General features: G+C 35.4%; 1 long non-coding RNA gene across 1 annotated transcript; it reads left to right on the top strand.

The window, feature by feature from the left end:
* The first annotated feature begins 10,748 nt into the window (after nucleotides 1-10,748).
* On the top strand, nucleotides 10,749-17,652 carry LOC124903073 (uncharacterized). The gene is made up of 2 exons (XR_007063576.1): nucleotides 10,749-11,421; nucleotides 12,878-17,652. It is a non-coding gene; the product is annotated as an uncharacterized LOC124903073 (long non-coding RNA).
* The last annotated feature ends 640 nt before the right edge of the window (nucleotides 17,653-18,292 follow it).

The raw sequence follows: 18,292 nt of genomic DNA on the forward strand, positions 1-18,292 counted from the left end.
GCCAAGTGAGATAAATTGACTACTAAAAGTTGTCAGGAATTTCTGTTTCTAGTAGTGAGTAATTTGAGCAGGTTCCTTTATTCAAAGTAAAGCAGTGTAGAACCTGATCTCTTTTCTTTTGAAGTTCAGCATTATTAAAATATCTTAATAAGAAGGGTTGACTGAGGTCAGCTGACAAACATGGGCAGCGGCTCCTCTTGAAGGGAAAGTCACTGAAAATGTGGGAAAAATATGGACTGGAGACCTGGGCTCAAAACCAATTCTTCGAACACTGTGCAGTTGAGACCAGGTTGTCCTTCTGACCTAGCTGTGCTGTCACTCCGCAGGTTGCTTGCAGGAAAGTGGCACGTGAATACTTACACTTAGAAAGTCCTTGAAATTGAAATGTTATTTTAGAAGCCTAACTCTTCTTTGCCATGGGATAGCCACTGCTAATCATAGTATAAAGGGAGAGAAGATTTTTCTACCCTGCTTTCACCTACTCTCTGAGAAGCTGCTGCAGGCCAGCAAATGGAGGGACTATCTCTGAGTCTCAGCAGGTTTAATAATACTCAGTACATAGTTCTCACTATATAGCTATAATTTTAGCCACAACATAGGAGAATAGGATTCTCTGACAAGTTTAGCAGGCTTTCTGGTTTTCTGTCCTTAAATAATAATATCAACCAATCTTTGCCTTATGGCAAGAAAAAAAGATGCAGGCAAGGAAATAAAGCCATTCTCTCCATGTGTGAATTGAAGACTGGTATAATTTAACTTGTATAATATCATACTGTGCTATTCTAAGTGAAAGAAGCATAGAACATATTATAGCAAACCCTAAACCAAACCTTGCAGGCAATAAATGATATGGTTTCAATTGGTAAGGTAGAACCATAGAGTGTAAGTATCAGTTCAGATAATTTTGTTTCTAAAAGTATATCGAATTCCTCTTTTGATTATCTGACAAGTAGCCAGGTAGCTATCTCAAGGTTTATGGATTTAACTAGCTATTCAAATTCTTTTTATATCATTAATGACTAAATTAGTATTAATATAAATTAAGCTTATAAGGCATCATGAAATGACATCCAGGGTAGCCAGGAAGAGTGAGTGGCATGAGAAGAGAAAGGACAAAGATGAAGACCAAATAGAAGCCACTTGTGATTTGTAAAGAGATACTGTAATAGAATGTTAAGGATAAAAAGCCAGAATAGAGTGGAATAAATTAAATAGAAATGAGGAAAAGAGTAAGTGCACAGAACGCTAGAATTTTGGATTTTAATGAAAGAGAGAGGTAGGTTGAGGTATACATCTCTCTCTCTCTCTCTAAATACATATATACATACATATTTCCATTATATATATATGGAATGTATATTTCCATATATATATACACATATATATATGGAAAGCTAGGTAGCAAAATAACCTGATTAATAAACAAAAGTGATTATAGTTGGAAAGATCTGGATTTGGAATTTGGGAGCTGATATTTATTAGCTGGATGAGTACAAATTGCCTCAGTTTCATCATTTCTAAAATAGAGATATTGATGCTTATTTCACAAAGTGGCTTTAGGGAATAAATTGAATGTTATGTGTCTACTCCTTCGGCAAATAGAAGTGCTTAATAAGTGGTACATATTAATAATATTTTAAAGTTGGTTAAATTATCTCTCTAATAAATTTGGTTATTAATAATAATATTAATCATGATAATAATTGCTATTGACTATTTCTACTAATCAGGTTTTCTTGATGGTTAACATGAAAATTCATTAACATAAGCATTAAGGAATTTATTGTAAGATTATGTCATGAAGCTTGCAAAATTAATAAAAAACTGAAGTGCCAAGGTTAAGCATGAATGCCAAGAGGCAAGGCATAGCCAAGCTGCCAAAATGTTTTTACAGAAGCCATTTGCTCATGACATTGCATTTTGACCAGATAACCTGACATTCTGCCATCTCTGCGCAAGTGCTGCTGTGATACTGCATTGTTCTCTCTGCTATCAGTATGATTCCAGGCTTTCTCAACCTAAGCACTATTGACATTTGGATGAGACTTCGATGTATGGAACTTTCTTGTACCTTGTGGGATGCTTAGCAGCATCTCTGGCTTCTACTCATTAGATACCAGTAGCACTCCCTGAATCCTGACAATCAAAAATTTCTGCAGACATTGCACAAATGTCCCAGTTGACAACCAGTACTATGCAAATATCTCTACTGACCTGAACCTTTGCTTCACTCCTTCAAGATTCAAATATGAAACAGGAGCATCTGCTTACTCATATTTGCTTCATATAATCTAACTACCAGAAGGGTACAGGAAAAAAATGTTTCTTCTGTTTTTCTTATTGGAGACAATGGACTTCCAGTTACCTGGAATTGCTCTGTTATATTTGAATGGTGTTCAAATACAGAGCCACAAAAACAAATATACATGGAATCTCCTATGTGCCAATTATTATGGTAGCCTCACTGCAGTCATTTATAATCATTATGACAATCTTTTAAGGAAGCTGTTGTTATAATCATTTTACTGATGCACAAAGTGAAGTTTAAAGACTTTACATGCTTTGCTGAGCATCAACCAGCTCAAACAAATTTTGTTTGATGCTGATATCTTTCATCTTCTATCAGGTCGAATTCAACTGACATTTACAGCAATCCCACCTCAAGTTGCTATTTTTTTCTTTTTGTTTACTACTTAGAGAAAATGATTTTTAAATGGTTTTTAATTATATTGAACTATAATTTCTCTATTGTGGGAATGCATCCACCCAGTGTTCCCTGTAGTGAATAATTACAGACCTGTTTTTTGATTCATATCTCCACTCAATAAAGAACACTGCCCATTCTTCTCATTCCAAATTCTCTTTCTACTGTCACTCAAATTAAGGTTATTTAAATGTCATGAATACAAGAAAGAATTTCAGTTTCGAGAAATCCTTGAAGATGTTTTTCAGATAACAGCTATGTTAAAAAAAAATCCTAAGTTTCCTCTTTACCTAAGATAATTCTTTTTTACTTCTTAATTGTGTATTACCTAGCCAACTCAGAATTTCTCCTCCAGACTAACAACCTAGCACAGAGTCAGTCAAATTGAGGTAACCTCGGTATGGAAGAAGGCAGAATGCACTATTGGAATAGCTGGAAGATAGTGTGCAATTGGTCTATTTATTTCTTAGTATGATAACTCTTAGTCATCAGTAATTATTATATAAACAAAAATTTGAGTGTCTCTGAACCACTGATTTTTCTGCTGCTTGGTTACCTCTGTAGATACTTTATTTTCTTTCATATTTAATCATCTTCACACATATGCATTTACTAATTTAATCTTATATTTATCAAATTTTTGAGTCATATGTAGACGTTAGCTTCAAAAAATACCAACTCTCTTACACAAATGCACAAAAATCCCCAAACAATTAATGTAGTTTTGTTATTAATAAATGTTTTTGTCTGTATGCCAATCCAGTAGCTAAATATGTTATGGGATACATCATTGACAATGATGATTGTTTTGGACTAAGAAGTCTGTTGCTCTCATGATTATGCAAATCCTTTCATCCTCTGGCCAATATCATGTTTTCAAAGTTTTATCTTTCAGTATGAGATATAGATAAGAAGAATAGGAGAGGTTAGAAAAAGAAAGAAACCTAATCTCAGTGTATTTCCCTCTTTCCCATAGCACATTTATGTTGATCAAAATACCAGACAGATTGCCAAAATCTAAGGGCAACATAACAATTTTAATAGCCTTAATTGAGTACATTCCAGGTCACATGTACTGGGTAATGTGCTTTACATGCCTTATTTCATTTATTTCTCAAAAACACTAGGAAATAGATTTATTTTCACTCTCTTTTTACAGCTGAGGAGTCTGAGTTACAATAAAATGGAGAATGCAACAAGTTAGTACCAGGGCCAAAATTCTCACTGTTGCTTTCTAACACAGGGGTCTAGTTTCAGGTTGCAAATGTTTTACCAGTATAGGAGACAGCTAGTGAATGGTCAGCAAAGTGATTTGGACTAAATGAATAATAGGAATTCATATAATGAGGAAGATAACTAAGGAATTTATTTGTGTTTGTATCTAGGAACGTTTGTCTGGCTTTACCTATGCATATATGACAGAGCACTTGCTTTTTTACGCCCTTTACAAATATTAACCCATTTATTTCTCACACCAACTTTCTGAAATAGGTTTTATTATCATGTTAATTATTATCATTTGAGAGGTGAGGAATGTGAGATAATGAAAATTAATAACATGCCTGTCAAATTGCTAAGCGCAGCAATGGAATTCTAAACCAGGTGATGTGGCCCTTAACTGGTATTCTATGCTGATACCTGTGGAAGGAGTCCCATATATTCTCCGGGCCATGATTCCTTTTCACTAGGCTTAAATTCTGCAGTAAATCATTATAGCTAATCCCTTGCATATCACCGTTTTTTCTTCCCTACTTGATCTTTCACATCAGCTGACAAATATGTTACTATGTATCCGTTGTTTAAAATATATATATTTATATAAATAAAATAAATAAAATGTATTTGTATAAATAAAATAAATTATATACATATATATACCCTCTTAACTCCATTCCCTTTGCAAATGTTATCCATTTTCTACTAGTCTTTATAATAACATTTCTATGAAGATATTTTCCATACTCATTGTCTCCACTTTATCTGCTTACATTTCCTCTTAAGTCGGCTTCAGGGCTTCATCTCCAGTACCCCATCAAAACTAGTTACTAGTGTCAACACTGGCTTTTGCACTGTTCAATCCAGAGATGAATTTATGAATTCTGAGTTATACTGTTTGACTCATCAGAATCTTTTTTTTTTTTTTTTTTTTTTGGAGACAGAGTCTCACTCTGTTGCCCAGGCTGGAGTGCAGTGGCACAATCTCTGCTCACTGCAAGCTCCACCTCCCAGGTTCACGCCATTCTCCTGCCTCAGCCTCCCGAGTAGCTGGGACTACAGGCGCCCGCCACCATGCCCGGCTAATTTTTTGTATTTTTAGTAGAGATGGGGTTTCACCATGTTAGTCAGGATGGTCTCGATCTCCTGGCCTCGTGATCCACCCGCCTCGGCCTCCCAAAGTGCTGGGATTACAGGTGTGAGCCACCGCGCCTGGCCCAGAATCTTTCATTATTTAAAATATTGTCTTTTTTTTCTATCATATACCTGAAACTTGCTAATAGAGGAGATCTTAAGTGTTCTTGCCATCCCCCACAAAAAAACCAACCATAACTATGTGAGATGATAGATATGTTAATTAGTTTGTTTTTGGCAATTATTCCACAGTGTATATGTATATGAAAATATCAAGTTGTACACAGTAAATATCTAAAATTTTTATTTTCCAAGTATACTTCAGTAAAGCTGGGAAAAAACACATTTAAGAAAAAAACACATTTAAGAAATATATACTCCATATAAACTTCATTACGGCAGGTATAGTTATCTGCTTTGCTCACTACTGTATCTCAGGGCTGAGAAGCCCTAAGATAAGCTCTTATAAAAGGATGAAATATGGAGTATAGGATAAAACATATTAGACTTGAAATTTTCACAGCTGTACATACAAGTCTAGTATAGTTTTCAGGGCTTTATAATTAGGTATTCACTTTTGCTTTTTTGGGAAGGAGACTCAACAGGAGATGAAATGTGTGTTTCCTGTGTTGCATGTTCCTGCACAGGTACTTCGAGGACAGTAGATCTTCCCACCCCTTCTAAATACTCTGTGTGTGTACATTTTTGAGATTACATATTTGGATTTTATGTTTTTTTTAAAAAAAAAGAAATAAAATACTGTCCTTTTTTTTTTTTTTTTTTTTTTTTTTTTACTTTTTGCATTAGAACACTACCCTCACTTGGTTTTCTACTTAATTTTGGGGTAGTTCTATCTCAGTTTATTATCCTAGTTCCTCCTTATCTCCCCAAAATGTAGACAGTGCAATGTTCCAGGGCTCAGTCCTTGGACCCCTTGTCTCTGTACTTACAGTTTTCTATTTATATTTACTCCCTGTGTGGTCTCATCTAGTTTCATATCCTACTAACAACTGTATGCAGATTAGTCTCAAATTTTGTTTTCCACTCGTACCTATCCCCTAAACTGCAAACATATTCATCCAGTTGTTTCTTTTACACTTGGCTGTCTAACATGCATCTCAAACTTAACTGGTTCAAAACACGGTTCTTAGTCTTTTTCCCCCTTAACCCTGTTCCTCTTTCAACTACCCCATAGCATCACCCCCCATCAACCTGCTCTAGCTATAGTTGTCCCACTTCATTATTTGAAGTTCATTATATGAAAACACCATCTTTACTCATCTGGTAGCGTATCACAGATCCCACAGAATATGATTTGCCTCAAAATATTGCCATAAACTTCCCACTTTTCATTAGCCTCCCTACTTCTACCCTGATGCCCTTGGATTGCTGAAAGTTTCTAAATATATCCATGTTTCTATCCTTGCCACTGTAACCTGTTTTCCATGTAGAAATTGGAGTTATCCTTTTAAAACACAGTTAGATCCACTGCTGAACTCCTTCCACTGCCATGCAAATCACTAAGCTTCTATAAGGTTTTGGGTTCCTAAGTAATCTCTTTGATCTGTCCCTTGTGACTCTCTTCCTGGTTTACCCTTTTCCTCCCACACCGACTCTTTTTGCTGTTTCTTGCACAAGTCAAACATGTTCCCACAGTGGAACCTGTGTACCTACTACTCCCTCAGATGAAATACTCTTTTCCCCTATATACATTGCCTGCCTTCTCTGCCCTTTCAAGTCTCTCCTCAAATGCCACCTGCTCAGTGTCACCTTCTCTAGCAAGCCAGTCAAAAATATCAATCCCCCTCAGTTCCAGATGCTCATGATACTCCTTTCTTGCTTTAGTTTTCTCCTCAAGTCTTAGAGTCAGTGAATATATTATATATTTTACAGACTTATCTTTTTAAAATTAATCTGTCTCTCCCTAATAGTATGTAAGATTTATTAGGGCAGAAAGTTTTATATTTTGTTCACAGCTTTACTTCAGAATATAGGATAGTAGATGATTAATAAAGATATGTTGAATAAATGAACTGTACACTATAAAAGTGGATAAGGAAGTAATCATGGAAGTATAAGTAAGGTTAACCTTAAAGGACTGGTAGAGTTCCTCAGACAGAGAAAATAAGAAATACTTTGGGCAAGAGAAAAACATCAGTTGAGGCTTTGGCAGTAAGAATTAGTATGTTATGTCTACCAGAGAGAGATGAAATCAACAGAGTGAAGTTAGAAGGTGTATCTTTTATTTTAAAATATTTATTTATTCACAAACAGGATTGATAAACCTACTACATGTTAGCACAAATAGCACATTTTGTGGGGAGTTATACTGTCTTTTCCAAAATATGCAAAATAATTTAATGAAAAGATTGGCATTGCCTTACAGATTTACAAATCTCTTTAATGCTTAACAATAAAAGGATAGGTGGGTGGTATGTTTAGGCTTTGTGTCCCCACCCAAATCTCATCTTGAATTGTAATCCCCATAATCCACATAATCCCCATGTGTCAAGGGAGAGACCAGGTGGAGGTAACTGAATCATAGAGGTGGTTTCCCCCATGCTGCTCTCTGATAGTGAGTGAGTTCTCATGAGATCTGATGTCTTTACAGGTCTTTGGTACTTCCTCCTGCATTCATTCTCCTTCCTGCTGCCCTGTGAAGAAGGTGCCTTGCTTCACCTTTGCCTTCTACTATGACTGTAAGTTTCCTGAAGCCTCGCCAGACATGCTGAACTGTGAGTCAATTAAACCTCTTTCCTTTATAAAATACCCAGTCTCAGGCAGTTATTTATGGCAGTATACAATTGACTAATAGTGTGCCACTACATTAATTGGTTGAAAAATGTTGTTTTGGTAAAAAAGGAAAAGGTCTTCACACAAAAATGTACTTGGAAAAGAGGATTATTTTAATAGGTTTTTCAGCTAATTGAAACTATTCATTTTTTATGAAGTCAAGCCTTGAATATTTGTAATTTTTTGAAGGTTAGCCGTTACATAGAATCTAAAATATCAATAAGCTTTGATACTCACTTGTTAGATTAAAATTCAATGCTCTATCTTGCAGTGCAAATGGATTTTTGATGCATGCATGAATTTGTAACGTTAGGCATGAATATTTGGAAAATGTGGGTTATGTAGATCTTTCAAATGATAATAGACATTATATGATATTTTAACATCGCATTCCTTAATATCATCGCTGATCCCATCAAGTAAGTTTTCAAGTATTGGCAAGTTGTCACAATCACAGTGGTGGTACCATTGTTCTAGAATTCTAATTTTTGTTAAAAGCTCAGATTTTGTCAATGATTACACATACTCTCAGTTGTTCAAAGTGCAAAGCTAACTTGATTCATTTTTTAGAAAATATCTTCCAAAAATTCAAATCTGAATAACCATAGTTGATCAACCATTTGTTCTTTTAAGTACAAATGATCTTTCTTGGGTGGAAAGAGAGCCCTTAGTTCAGCTTTTAACTCAATCACATAAGTGCTTTTCTTTCAGGCAGCCCTGTTACTCTGGTATGCACTAATACTTCCAATTTCATCACACAAAATTGAAAAAGCACGTACTTAAGGGTAAATTTTAATACAAATAAAATTATTATGTTTCAATCAGGGATATTTTTTATTGAAGCCACCGTGTGGATACCTGGCAGTGAAGAATGTAATGGCTAGCAATATAGTTTTGTGCCACTACTTTGATTCATGCTAAGGTACAAGCCTATCATTACTTTTTTTTACTGTCAATGAAAAATTGTACAGTGTCTCAATAGTGCTAAAAAAATAGCTTTGACTCAGTGACTTCTCTAAAAGGGTCTTTGGAACTGCATAGTTCTGTGAACCACACGTTAAAAACTGCTTTCCTAAGTGTTTCCGAATTTTAGCATAAGTGCGAGACAACATAAATGTAAGAAACTTACAATAATCATAATTACAATAACTAGGTTAATGCAAAAAACAATTGAAAAGTCATATATTCAAGACAAAATTCAATTAAATAGTAAATATTTTCAGATGAAATGCTATAACCTGCATGCAAAGTCTTCTAAACCTTAGCCAAGGTTTAGATGGTTTATAGAGTTATACTCAGTTACTGACAGATCTAAAATGAACTTCTTCCTGTGATGACATACTGTTTTGGCAATAACAGGAGTCTTGACAATTTTTGAATCTGTATGTCTAACCTGGATACTCCTACTCATATCTAGAGTTACATAGCTTTCTGTAGTTATGAGATATACATATATACACATATATACATATATGTATATACATATATATATACACATATATACATATATGTATATACATATATATATATACACATATATGTTTTTGTCTACAGTCCCTGGTTTATAACTTTCATATCACTTGTTATAAACTTTTGTTATAATGGGGGATATTTTAGGCCTTGGAACAGTCCTCAGGAAACAGAATCTGTCCAATCTTCTTCTGCCCTCCTTTTACCTGCCCCAGTCCTCCCCCACCTTTCTGATTGTGGGGCTTAAGACCCTCACCAAAGAGGGCCTTGCCCAATACCCTGGGCGCAATAATGCTGATGTTATAAAGCTTCCATAAAACTCCAACAGGACTTTTATTTATTTCTCTCAAAAGTTTTACCTAAGAATATATCCTGTGTATTGGATTCTGCTATATCTATCAGGAATCCTAAGCACACTGATGGGTAACTAGAAAGATAAATGATAAGAAAATTCACAGGGCTCAAATACTAAGAAAATAGAGAGTACATGTGATTCATACACCATGAAGAACAAGAGCTTTCAACTTGGACACATCTTAGTCTGATACTTATTCTGTCACATAATATAGTAAACCTCTTAGCAATTTAAGCCTTTCTAAGAACTACTTTATTAACTTGTAAAATAGAGCTAATATCTACCAACATAGCTTATTGAATATTAAATAAAATATATATACATATGTTTAAAAATAATATATAACTAATACTGATTATGTATTAATTATGTACTAATCCATATTAATTATATGGTATATGTTATGTTACACCATGTCATATCATATCATACATTATATCATACTATATATTGAAAACTGCCCATCATATTGTATTTATGAAAAGTATGTAAATACTCAAAAATAATCACAATTTTATAGTTGAAATATGCATATGAAATCAGCTACAGTTTGAATGTAGGCTTACTACTATAGATTAGCTAACAACAGAACTAACAGTTTCCAGATCAAATAATGCAAATTATTAATTAAATGTTCAATTACTGATTGTGATAGAAACCACAGCTGAGTAATTATAAGTATTTGTAACATGTAAATAATTTTCAGCATATTTTTTGTTTTTAATACTGACATGGTTTGGCTAGGTCCCCATCCAAATCTCATCTTGAATTGTAGTTCCCATAATCCCCACATGTCATGGGGGACCCAGTGGGAGGTAACTGAATCATGGGGGCAGTTACCTCCATGCTGTTCTTGTGATAGTTAATAAGTCTTATGAGATCTGATGTTTTTATAAAGGGTAGTTCCCCGCACTCACTGTCTTGTCTGCAGCTATGTAAGATGTGCCTTTGCTTGTCATTCATCTTCCACCATGATTGTGAGGCCTCCCCAGCCACGTGGAACTGTGAGTCCATTAAATCTCTTTTTCTTTATAAATTACCCAGTCTTGGGTATTTCTTCATAGCAGTATGAAAATGGACTAATACAAATACTTTAGTTTATACAATCTTTTTGTTTTTGTTTGGTTTGGTTTTGGTTTTGGTTTTAGTGGAAGAGTTAAATAATGGGCAAAGAATGGTTTCTCATATGACATCCTAGAAAAACAAAAGTATAAGGAAAGAACAGTAGAGTGGTAGAAACAGAGAAGGATAGGGATGTGGTTGACTACAGGGTTAGTCTGTTTTTGTTGCTATAAAATTGCTATAAATTACCCATACCTGAGGTTTGTTCCTATAAATTACCCATACCTGGGTGGGGTTGGGTAATTCATAAAAATGATTAATTGGCTTTTAGTTCTAAAGGCTTCACAGGAAGCATTGTGCTGGAACCTGCTCCTGGTGAGGGCTTAAGGAAACTTCTAATCATGGGAGAAGGCAAAGGAGAGCCAACATGTTATATGGCAAGACAGGAAGCAAGAGAGAGGAAGGAGGAGGTGCCAGTCTCCTTTAAACAACTTGCCCTTGTGCACAAAAATACAGAACAAGAACTCCCTCATTACTGTAAGGATGGTACCAAACTGTTCGTGAGGGATTTGCTCCCATGACACAAACGCCTCCCACCAGGACCCATTTCCAACAGAGAGGATCACATTGTAACATGAGATTTGGAGGGGATAAACATCCAAGACATAACAGCTACCAAGAGTCATAGGTGAATTTTGGGGAGTGATGGAACTGTTCTTTAACTTTATTATGGCAGAGGTATCATAACTCTACGTATCTGTTACAACTTGCAGAACTGAAAAAAAAAATGTGTTCCTTGATTTAAAAATCTAAATTGGGCCTCTGAAACATGAAGCAACAATTTATTGAAATGTTTTAAAAGTATTCAAAGTTACTGTGTTACGTAGACTGAAAAATTATGACACTCATTCAAGAATAGCCCATTTGGAAGATTAGTATCGTTTGAACATTGTATTAGTTTGCTAGGGAAGCAATACGAAGCACCCAGAATGAGTGGTTTAAACAGTAGAAACTTATTATCCTGAATTCTGAAGCTTAGAAGTCCGAGATCAAAAGATTGGCAGTTTTCTTTTGAGTCCTCCCTCTTTGGCTGTACATAACTGTCTTCTACTTCTATCTACACATCATCTTCTCTCTGTACTTCTCTGTACAGAGATTTTCTCTCCTTATAAGGACAGTGGTCATATTGGATTCGGGTCTGCACTAAAATCTCATTTTAATTTAATTACTTATTTTAAGACCCTGTAAACCAAAAATAAAATTCTAAGCCCCGATGATATAAATGAAACCCTCCTCTCAGCTAAGGGCATTCAGAAGTTAACCTGTAAAACTAGTTCAGGCTATCATGAGAAGGAGAAGTCCAACATGCCTCATTACCATTAACACCAACACAGACCTTAGGACTGATAGAACAGATTCTTTGAGTCGGGTAAGAGATACTTACAATCTGTTCTCTTTAGAGCCTGTTACCTGGAGGCTTCAACTGTATGATAAAACCTTGGTCTCCACAACCCCTTATCACAACCCAGACATTCTAATGATTCCAGGTCTTCAAATAATAACTCAGCCAATTGCCAATCAGAAAATCTTTGAGGATCATTGGTTTAAAGTAACTTTTGTTTTGGTCTCAGGTTGTTTTATAAGAATAGGGACATATATTTCTCATTGTTTTTAGGAACTGTTGCTCAGACCAAGGAAATAAAACCCAGGACATATTAAGTTAACATTGCGACTCTGATTCTTTATGCAGATTGCACACAAAGGTGTATATTTGTATTTTCATTCATCTTACATATCTTTTCCTCATAGTCAAATAATTAAAGTAATTTTCAGATACAATAATTTTTCTAAGAATGTTTGGCAAGAACTCTGCCAAACAAGTCTATTTAACTACAAATTGTTGCTTTGCTTATCCCTTGATGTAAAACCAATTTCCTTTTGAAGCCCACCAATCTAGGAACTTTTGCATTTAGGTGAGTGCAAAAGTGATTGTGGTTCTTGCATTGTTGGAATTTGCCATTTGAAAATGGAATACTTTCTTAAATAAATGTCGTTATGTTATACATCATTTTAATGAGCATTTCTTCCTTTATGTTTTTCTGCTAATGACTTTTTACTTGCTGTTTGTTTTATGTTTATTTTAGACTATGGAAATGATGTTAGACAAAAAGCAAATTTGAGCAATTTTCTTATTCGAGTCCAAAATGGGTCATAATGTAGTGGAGACAACTTGCAACATCAACAACGCATTTGGCCCAGGAACTGCTAATGAATATACAGGTGCAGTGGTGGTTCAAGAAGTTTTGCAAAGGAGACGAGAACCTTGAAGATGAGGAGCATCACGGCCAGCCATCAGAAGCTAACAATGAATGACCAGCTGAAAGCAATCATTGAAGCGATCTCTTACAACTACACGAGAAGTCGCCAAGGAACTCAATGTCGACCATGGTTATTTGGCATTTGAAACAAATTGGAAAGATGAGAAAGCTTGATAAGTGGGTGCCTCATGATCTGAGCCAAAATAAAAAAAATCAACCTTTCGAAGTGCTGCCTTCTCTTATTCTACACAACAACAAACAGTTTCTCAATTGGATTGTGATGTATGACAACAGGTGGATTTTATATGACAACTGCCGATGACCAGCTCAGCAGTTGGGCTGAGAAGAAGCTCCAAAGCACTTCCCAAAGCCAAATTTGCACAGAAAAAGGTCATGGTTACTGTTGGTGGTCTGCTGCCAGTCTGATCCACTACTGCTTTCTGAATCATGTCTGGCAAAACCATTACATCTGAGAATTATGCTCAGCAAATTGATGAGATGCATTGAAAACTGCAACATCTGCCGTGTCATTGGTCAACAAAAAGGACCCAATTCTTCTATGCGATAACGCCTGACTGCACGTGGCACAACCAACACTTCATAAGTTGAATGAATTGGGCTACGAAGTTTTGCCTTATCCGCCGTATTCACCCAACATCTTGCCAACCAACTACCACTTTTTTATTTTTATTTATTTATTTATTTATTTATTTATTTATTTATTTATTTATTTATTTTGAGACAGTCTCGCTCTGTCACCGAGGCTGGAGTACAGTGGCGCAATCTCGGCTCACTGCAACCTCTGCCTCCTGGGGTTCAAGTGATACTCCTGCCTCAGCCTCCTGCTGACTACCACTTCTTAAAGTATCTTGACAACTTTTTTGGAGGGAAAATGTTTCCACAACCAGCAAGATGCAGAAAATGCTTTCCAAAAGTTTGTCAAATCCTGAAGCACAGATTTTTACTACAAGAATAAACAAACTTATTTCTCATTGGCAAAAATGTGTTGATTGTAATTGTTCCCATTTTGATTAATAAAGATGTGTTTCAGTCTAGTTACAATGACTTAAAAGTCACCGTCCAAAGCTGCAATTACGTTTGCATCAACCTAGTAGAATAATTATACCATAGACAAGATTACAAAGCAAATGAATTATTTCTCTAACTGAATGCAAATTTATTCATGAAGAGAGTAAAGTAACATTTGCACCAGAAAATCATAGCTGAAGCCAGCAATTTTCCAGAGGGAAATTTGTTAATGAACCTTTAGCTATTCAGAGAATAATCTTTTTCAAAGCTTGATAACATCTATAACCCTCTCCCTAAGACAAAATTTACTAAGGTTTTTAAAAAATAAAAAAAGGGTTTTTTTTCTATTTTTATGAACATAATATTACTTAAACCATCATCTAAATTAGGATTTCTCCACTGCAGCATATCACTGTTTTGGACCAGATAATTCTGATTGTTGAAGGTATAAGGTGCATTTCAAGATGTTTTCCAGCATCTTTGGTCTCTGCTAGGTTCTAATAGCAATTACTCAGTCATGACAATCTAAAATATCTCTTGAAATTGCCAAATGTTTCTTGGGAGACAAAATTGCTTCTAATTAAAAAATACTAACCTAAATATATGTCTACCCTCTTCTGCTCACATTGTACTAAAGGTACTTATTTTCAACCACAGATATGACAGTCAAACATTTTCTGGAAGTCTATGGTATTTCTGGATGCTGCGATGATAAAAATGGACTTTAAATGAATTAATACATGTAGTCATTGAAGAAAAGGGGCCTTTGTTAGAGTTTACAGGGAGAAAAATAATATATTTCTTTAATTGGTAGAAAGAAGATACTTGAGTTAAAGATTTGTCTTCTCTATGCTGACTCAGAAGCTGTGTTAGGACCCATGACTGGATGTTACAGTGAAAAATACTAAAACGGAATAGAAGAATTTAAATAATTAGAACTTTGCTAAAATGATGTTTAAATGTTTATTAAAAATTACTTAGGATTACCAAGGATTTAAAAACTAAAAATGATTTTTTTTTGTTGGGGGACATAATATTACTTAAGTCATCATCTAAATCAGGATTTCTCAAATGTAGCACTATTGCTATTTTGGACAACACACTTAAATTACTACTGCGTATTAACTATTGATAATATACCATCTTGAATTACCAGCTCAGGTTATCCATACATTTCAACTATTGTGGTATTTATATTTTGATAATTTGTAAGAGTCTTTTTTAAAGAAAAGCCATTAACTTTTGCTTGCTATATGTAATACATATGTCACTACTATATTTAATTTTTTCACTTTTTGATTATTTTCAATATAGAGCTCTTGTTAATTTTTTTTACTCCAAGCCATTAATATGTTGCTATTATTTATCCATTGCTTTTATGTCTAGTAAGCTCTTTCCCATAATTAGAAAAACAAACACCTGAATATTTATTGACTCTGTTTTTAATTTGTTTAGTAACTTTTATATTCTGTCATTATTAAAGTACTTCTAATTCCAGGCTACTGAATCTTCAAAAACTGGGAAAATAATTTATTTACTGAATGCCTACAGCATGCCTGGGTGGTTTAAAAGTTGCGTCCTATATAACCTTATTTAACATGTCATCACTATTAACAAGGTATAATTATTCTTAGTTTACAGATGAGGATATTGAAACCCACAAAATGTAATAGTTCTATCAATTCCACACAGTTATATGCAGTGGAGCAGACATTTAGACCAGTTCTGCTTGACCTAAAGCTCATGTTCTTTCAATTACAGCAATACTCTACAAGCAATAGGGAGCATCTTAGACTTTTAAGTGGGAAAAATGACATGATCAAAGCTGTGCTTTAAGAAAATCTATTTAGCAGAAGCGGACATGGAACATTTTTAAAAAGGGGAGTCTGAATGCTATTGAAATAGCCAAATAGCCAAGTCAAGGATAATGAAATCCCTGGGTCTGAATGAGTATAGTAACTGGAAACTGAAGAGGAAGAAATAGAAAAAGAGGTATTATGGGAAGATAATTTACAGAAAAGGGTAACTGATTCAATGTTGGTGTCAGTAAGCAGAGGTGTTAAAGATTATTAGGAATTTCCTGTTAATTCAAATAGAAAGAACATGTAAGCAGTTTTTTTTTTAATATGAAGTTTTTCTAAGGAAGATTGGGACCTCAAGTTTGGACATCCTGAGGCACTAAATGCAGAGGAAGAGCCTTTGGTGGAAGTTTAAAACTTAAAATTGCATCCTGGGACATGAAAAATGGGGTTAAAATTTATTGCTAGATGTGGGAGTCATCTGCACTGATTTAATAGAAACCACGAGATTGCCAAGGGTAAGAGTTGAAATGAGAATCATCATGGGCAGATTCATGAAAAATATTTATATTTAAGTGGTGAGAACAGGAAAAGAATCTAGATACAAAAATAAAAGGAGTGAGCAAAAAGTAGAAAGGGACACAAAGAAAAATATTTGATGTTTGCAACTGATTAGTATTTTATTTTATCTTTCTTTGGCTCTTAACTGTCACCCGAAGGCTCTGACATCAGAAATGACTCCCACCCCTGATCAAGAGTCTCTCCAACCTCACAGATGCTGGCCTCTTGGCACCTGCCTAGCTCTTGGGCCTGACCTTCAGTCCTGCTGGCCTCTTATTATTTCCCTCACCCTAGGTTTGGCCTCTGGAACCTCTCCCTCCTGTGTACCACACCCCACCTGCTGTGGAGCCCATTGTGGGGGCAGGGAGAGAGCCCTCCCCTGAGGATCTACTGCCCTCTGGGGCTGTTGAGTTGGGCAGAATCCTGGGCCTCCAGAGGCCTTTGCTCACACACACTCCTTCTCCCTGTTCCTGGCACACTCCCTTCCCCGAGATTACACAATAGTCAGAGTCCTTCTTTCCAGGGGATTGGGCCATGTGTCCTCCACCCATATGTCCATCCTCCTCTCCATGTAAGTGCTGTTTGGGCAGGAGTCATCATGCAAGGGTGACGTCAACAACCATGTACCAAGCCACCGCAGCTGCTGCCACTCTGGAGCCTGTACAGAAGAAACTGAATCTTTTTCATATCCTCATAAATCAATGTGAGTTTTTGATAGAAAACTATGATGATTATTTAAACTTATCATTAGTTGCAAACAGTAAATATTTTTAAACAGCATAGAAATATACTGTCAGTACCATACCTATATCCCCTCCCACTAATCAGATGGATATATAGCTGACTAAATTCCAACATCTAGCCCCTGCATTACTTTGCTTGAGAGTTTTCTCTTGTCTCCAGAATCTGCTATGCTTGCTCACCCTATAGGTTAGTAGTGTCAGAGAGTTTCCCTCCAACCCCCAGCCCTCAGCCACTATTTGATGGAACTTAGTACATAAATACTCCAGCTCCTTTGCACCTTGGATAGGATAACTTTGAAGCACATTGTCTACGTTGGCTATGCCAGTACCCTGACATGTTTAACTTTAAGTTACTATCAGAAAGAACTTGCCTAATAACAAAAGCTTTACTGTCTTTTCTTTTATCATTGCCCTAGTAATGTTTCTTGATATCACTTACAAAATAAACTTCTTGTGCTCTTAAACTCAACACTGCCTCATGGTCTGCTTCTGGGAGAACCCAAATGAAAACAGAACATGAAGGATGATAAAGGTTATTAGAAACAGAAAAGTAACTGCTGATCTTAAAGACAGATGAAGAACAGATAAATTGAGTGTAAGAAAACCAAGAATAAGAGAGTGTTTGGAAATGCCAGGCAATTTGAGGTTATGTTGAGGGAAGCTGAGAGAAGCATTTGAACTTGGTCTGAGTAAAAAATTATCTGCCTTGAGTAATGTGAAGGGGGATGTTAAGAATCTGGAAAAGAGTAGATGAAGTTTGGAACAGCTGTGGTGTATAACATAGTAAGCTGTCAATCAGGGTTAAAAATATTTTATGATAGTGTCAAATAATGAAAAGCATATTTTTCTTCAATCAAGCAGACCTGCATAAGAATTCTGGCCTTACCTCACTGTGTGAACATGTGCAAGATATTTAACATCTCTGGCCTCATTTTCTACATCTGTGAAATGATAATAAGGTTCAGCAATCAAGGATCGATGGATTAAATGCAGCAGCATGTAGGAGCCTAGCACATGGTAAATAATTAATAAATTTAAGCCGTTACTCCAACTGAGAGAGAAAAGAATCCAGCTGAAATTTGATTGCATGAGTTTAGAGCAGCGATATT

The sequence above is a fragment of the Homo sapiens genome, chromosome 12, assembly GCF_000001405.40.
Source record: "Homo sapiens chromosome 12, GRCh38.p14 Primary Assembly".
NCBI lineage: Eukaryota > Metazoa > Chordata > Mammalia > Primates > Hominidae > Homo > Homo sapiens.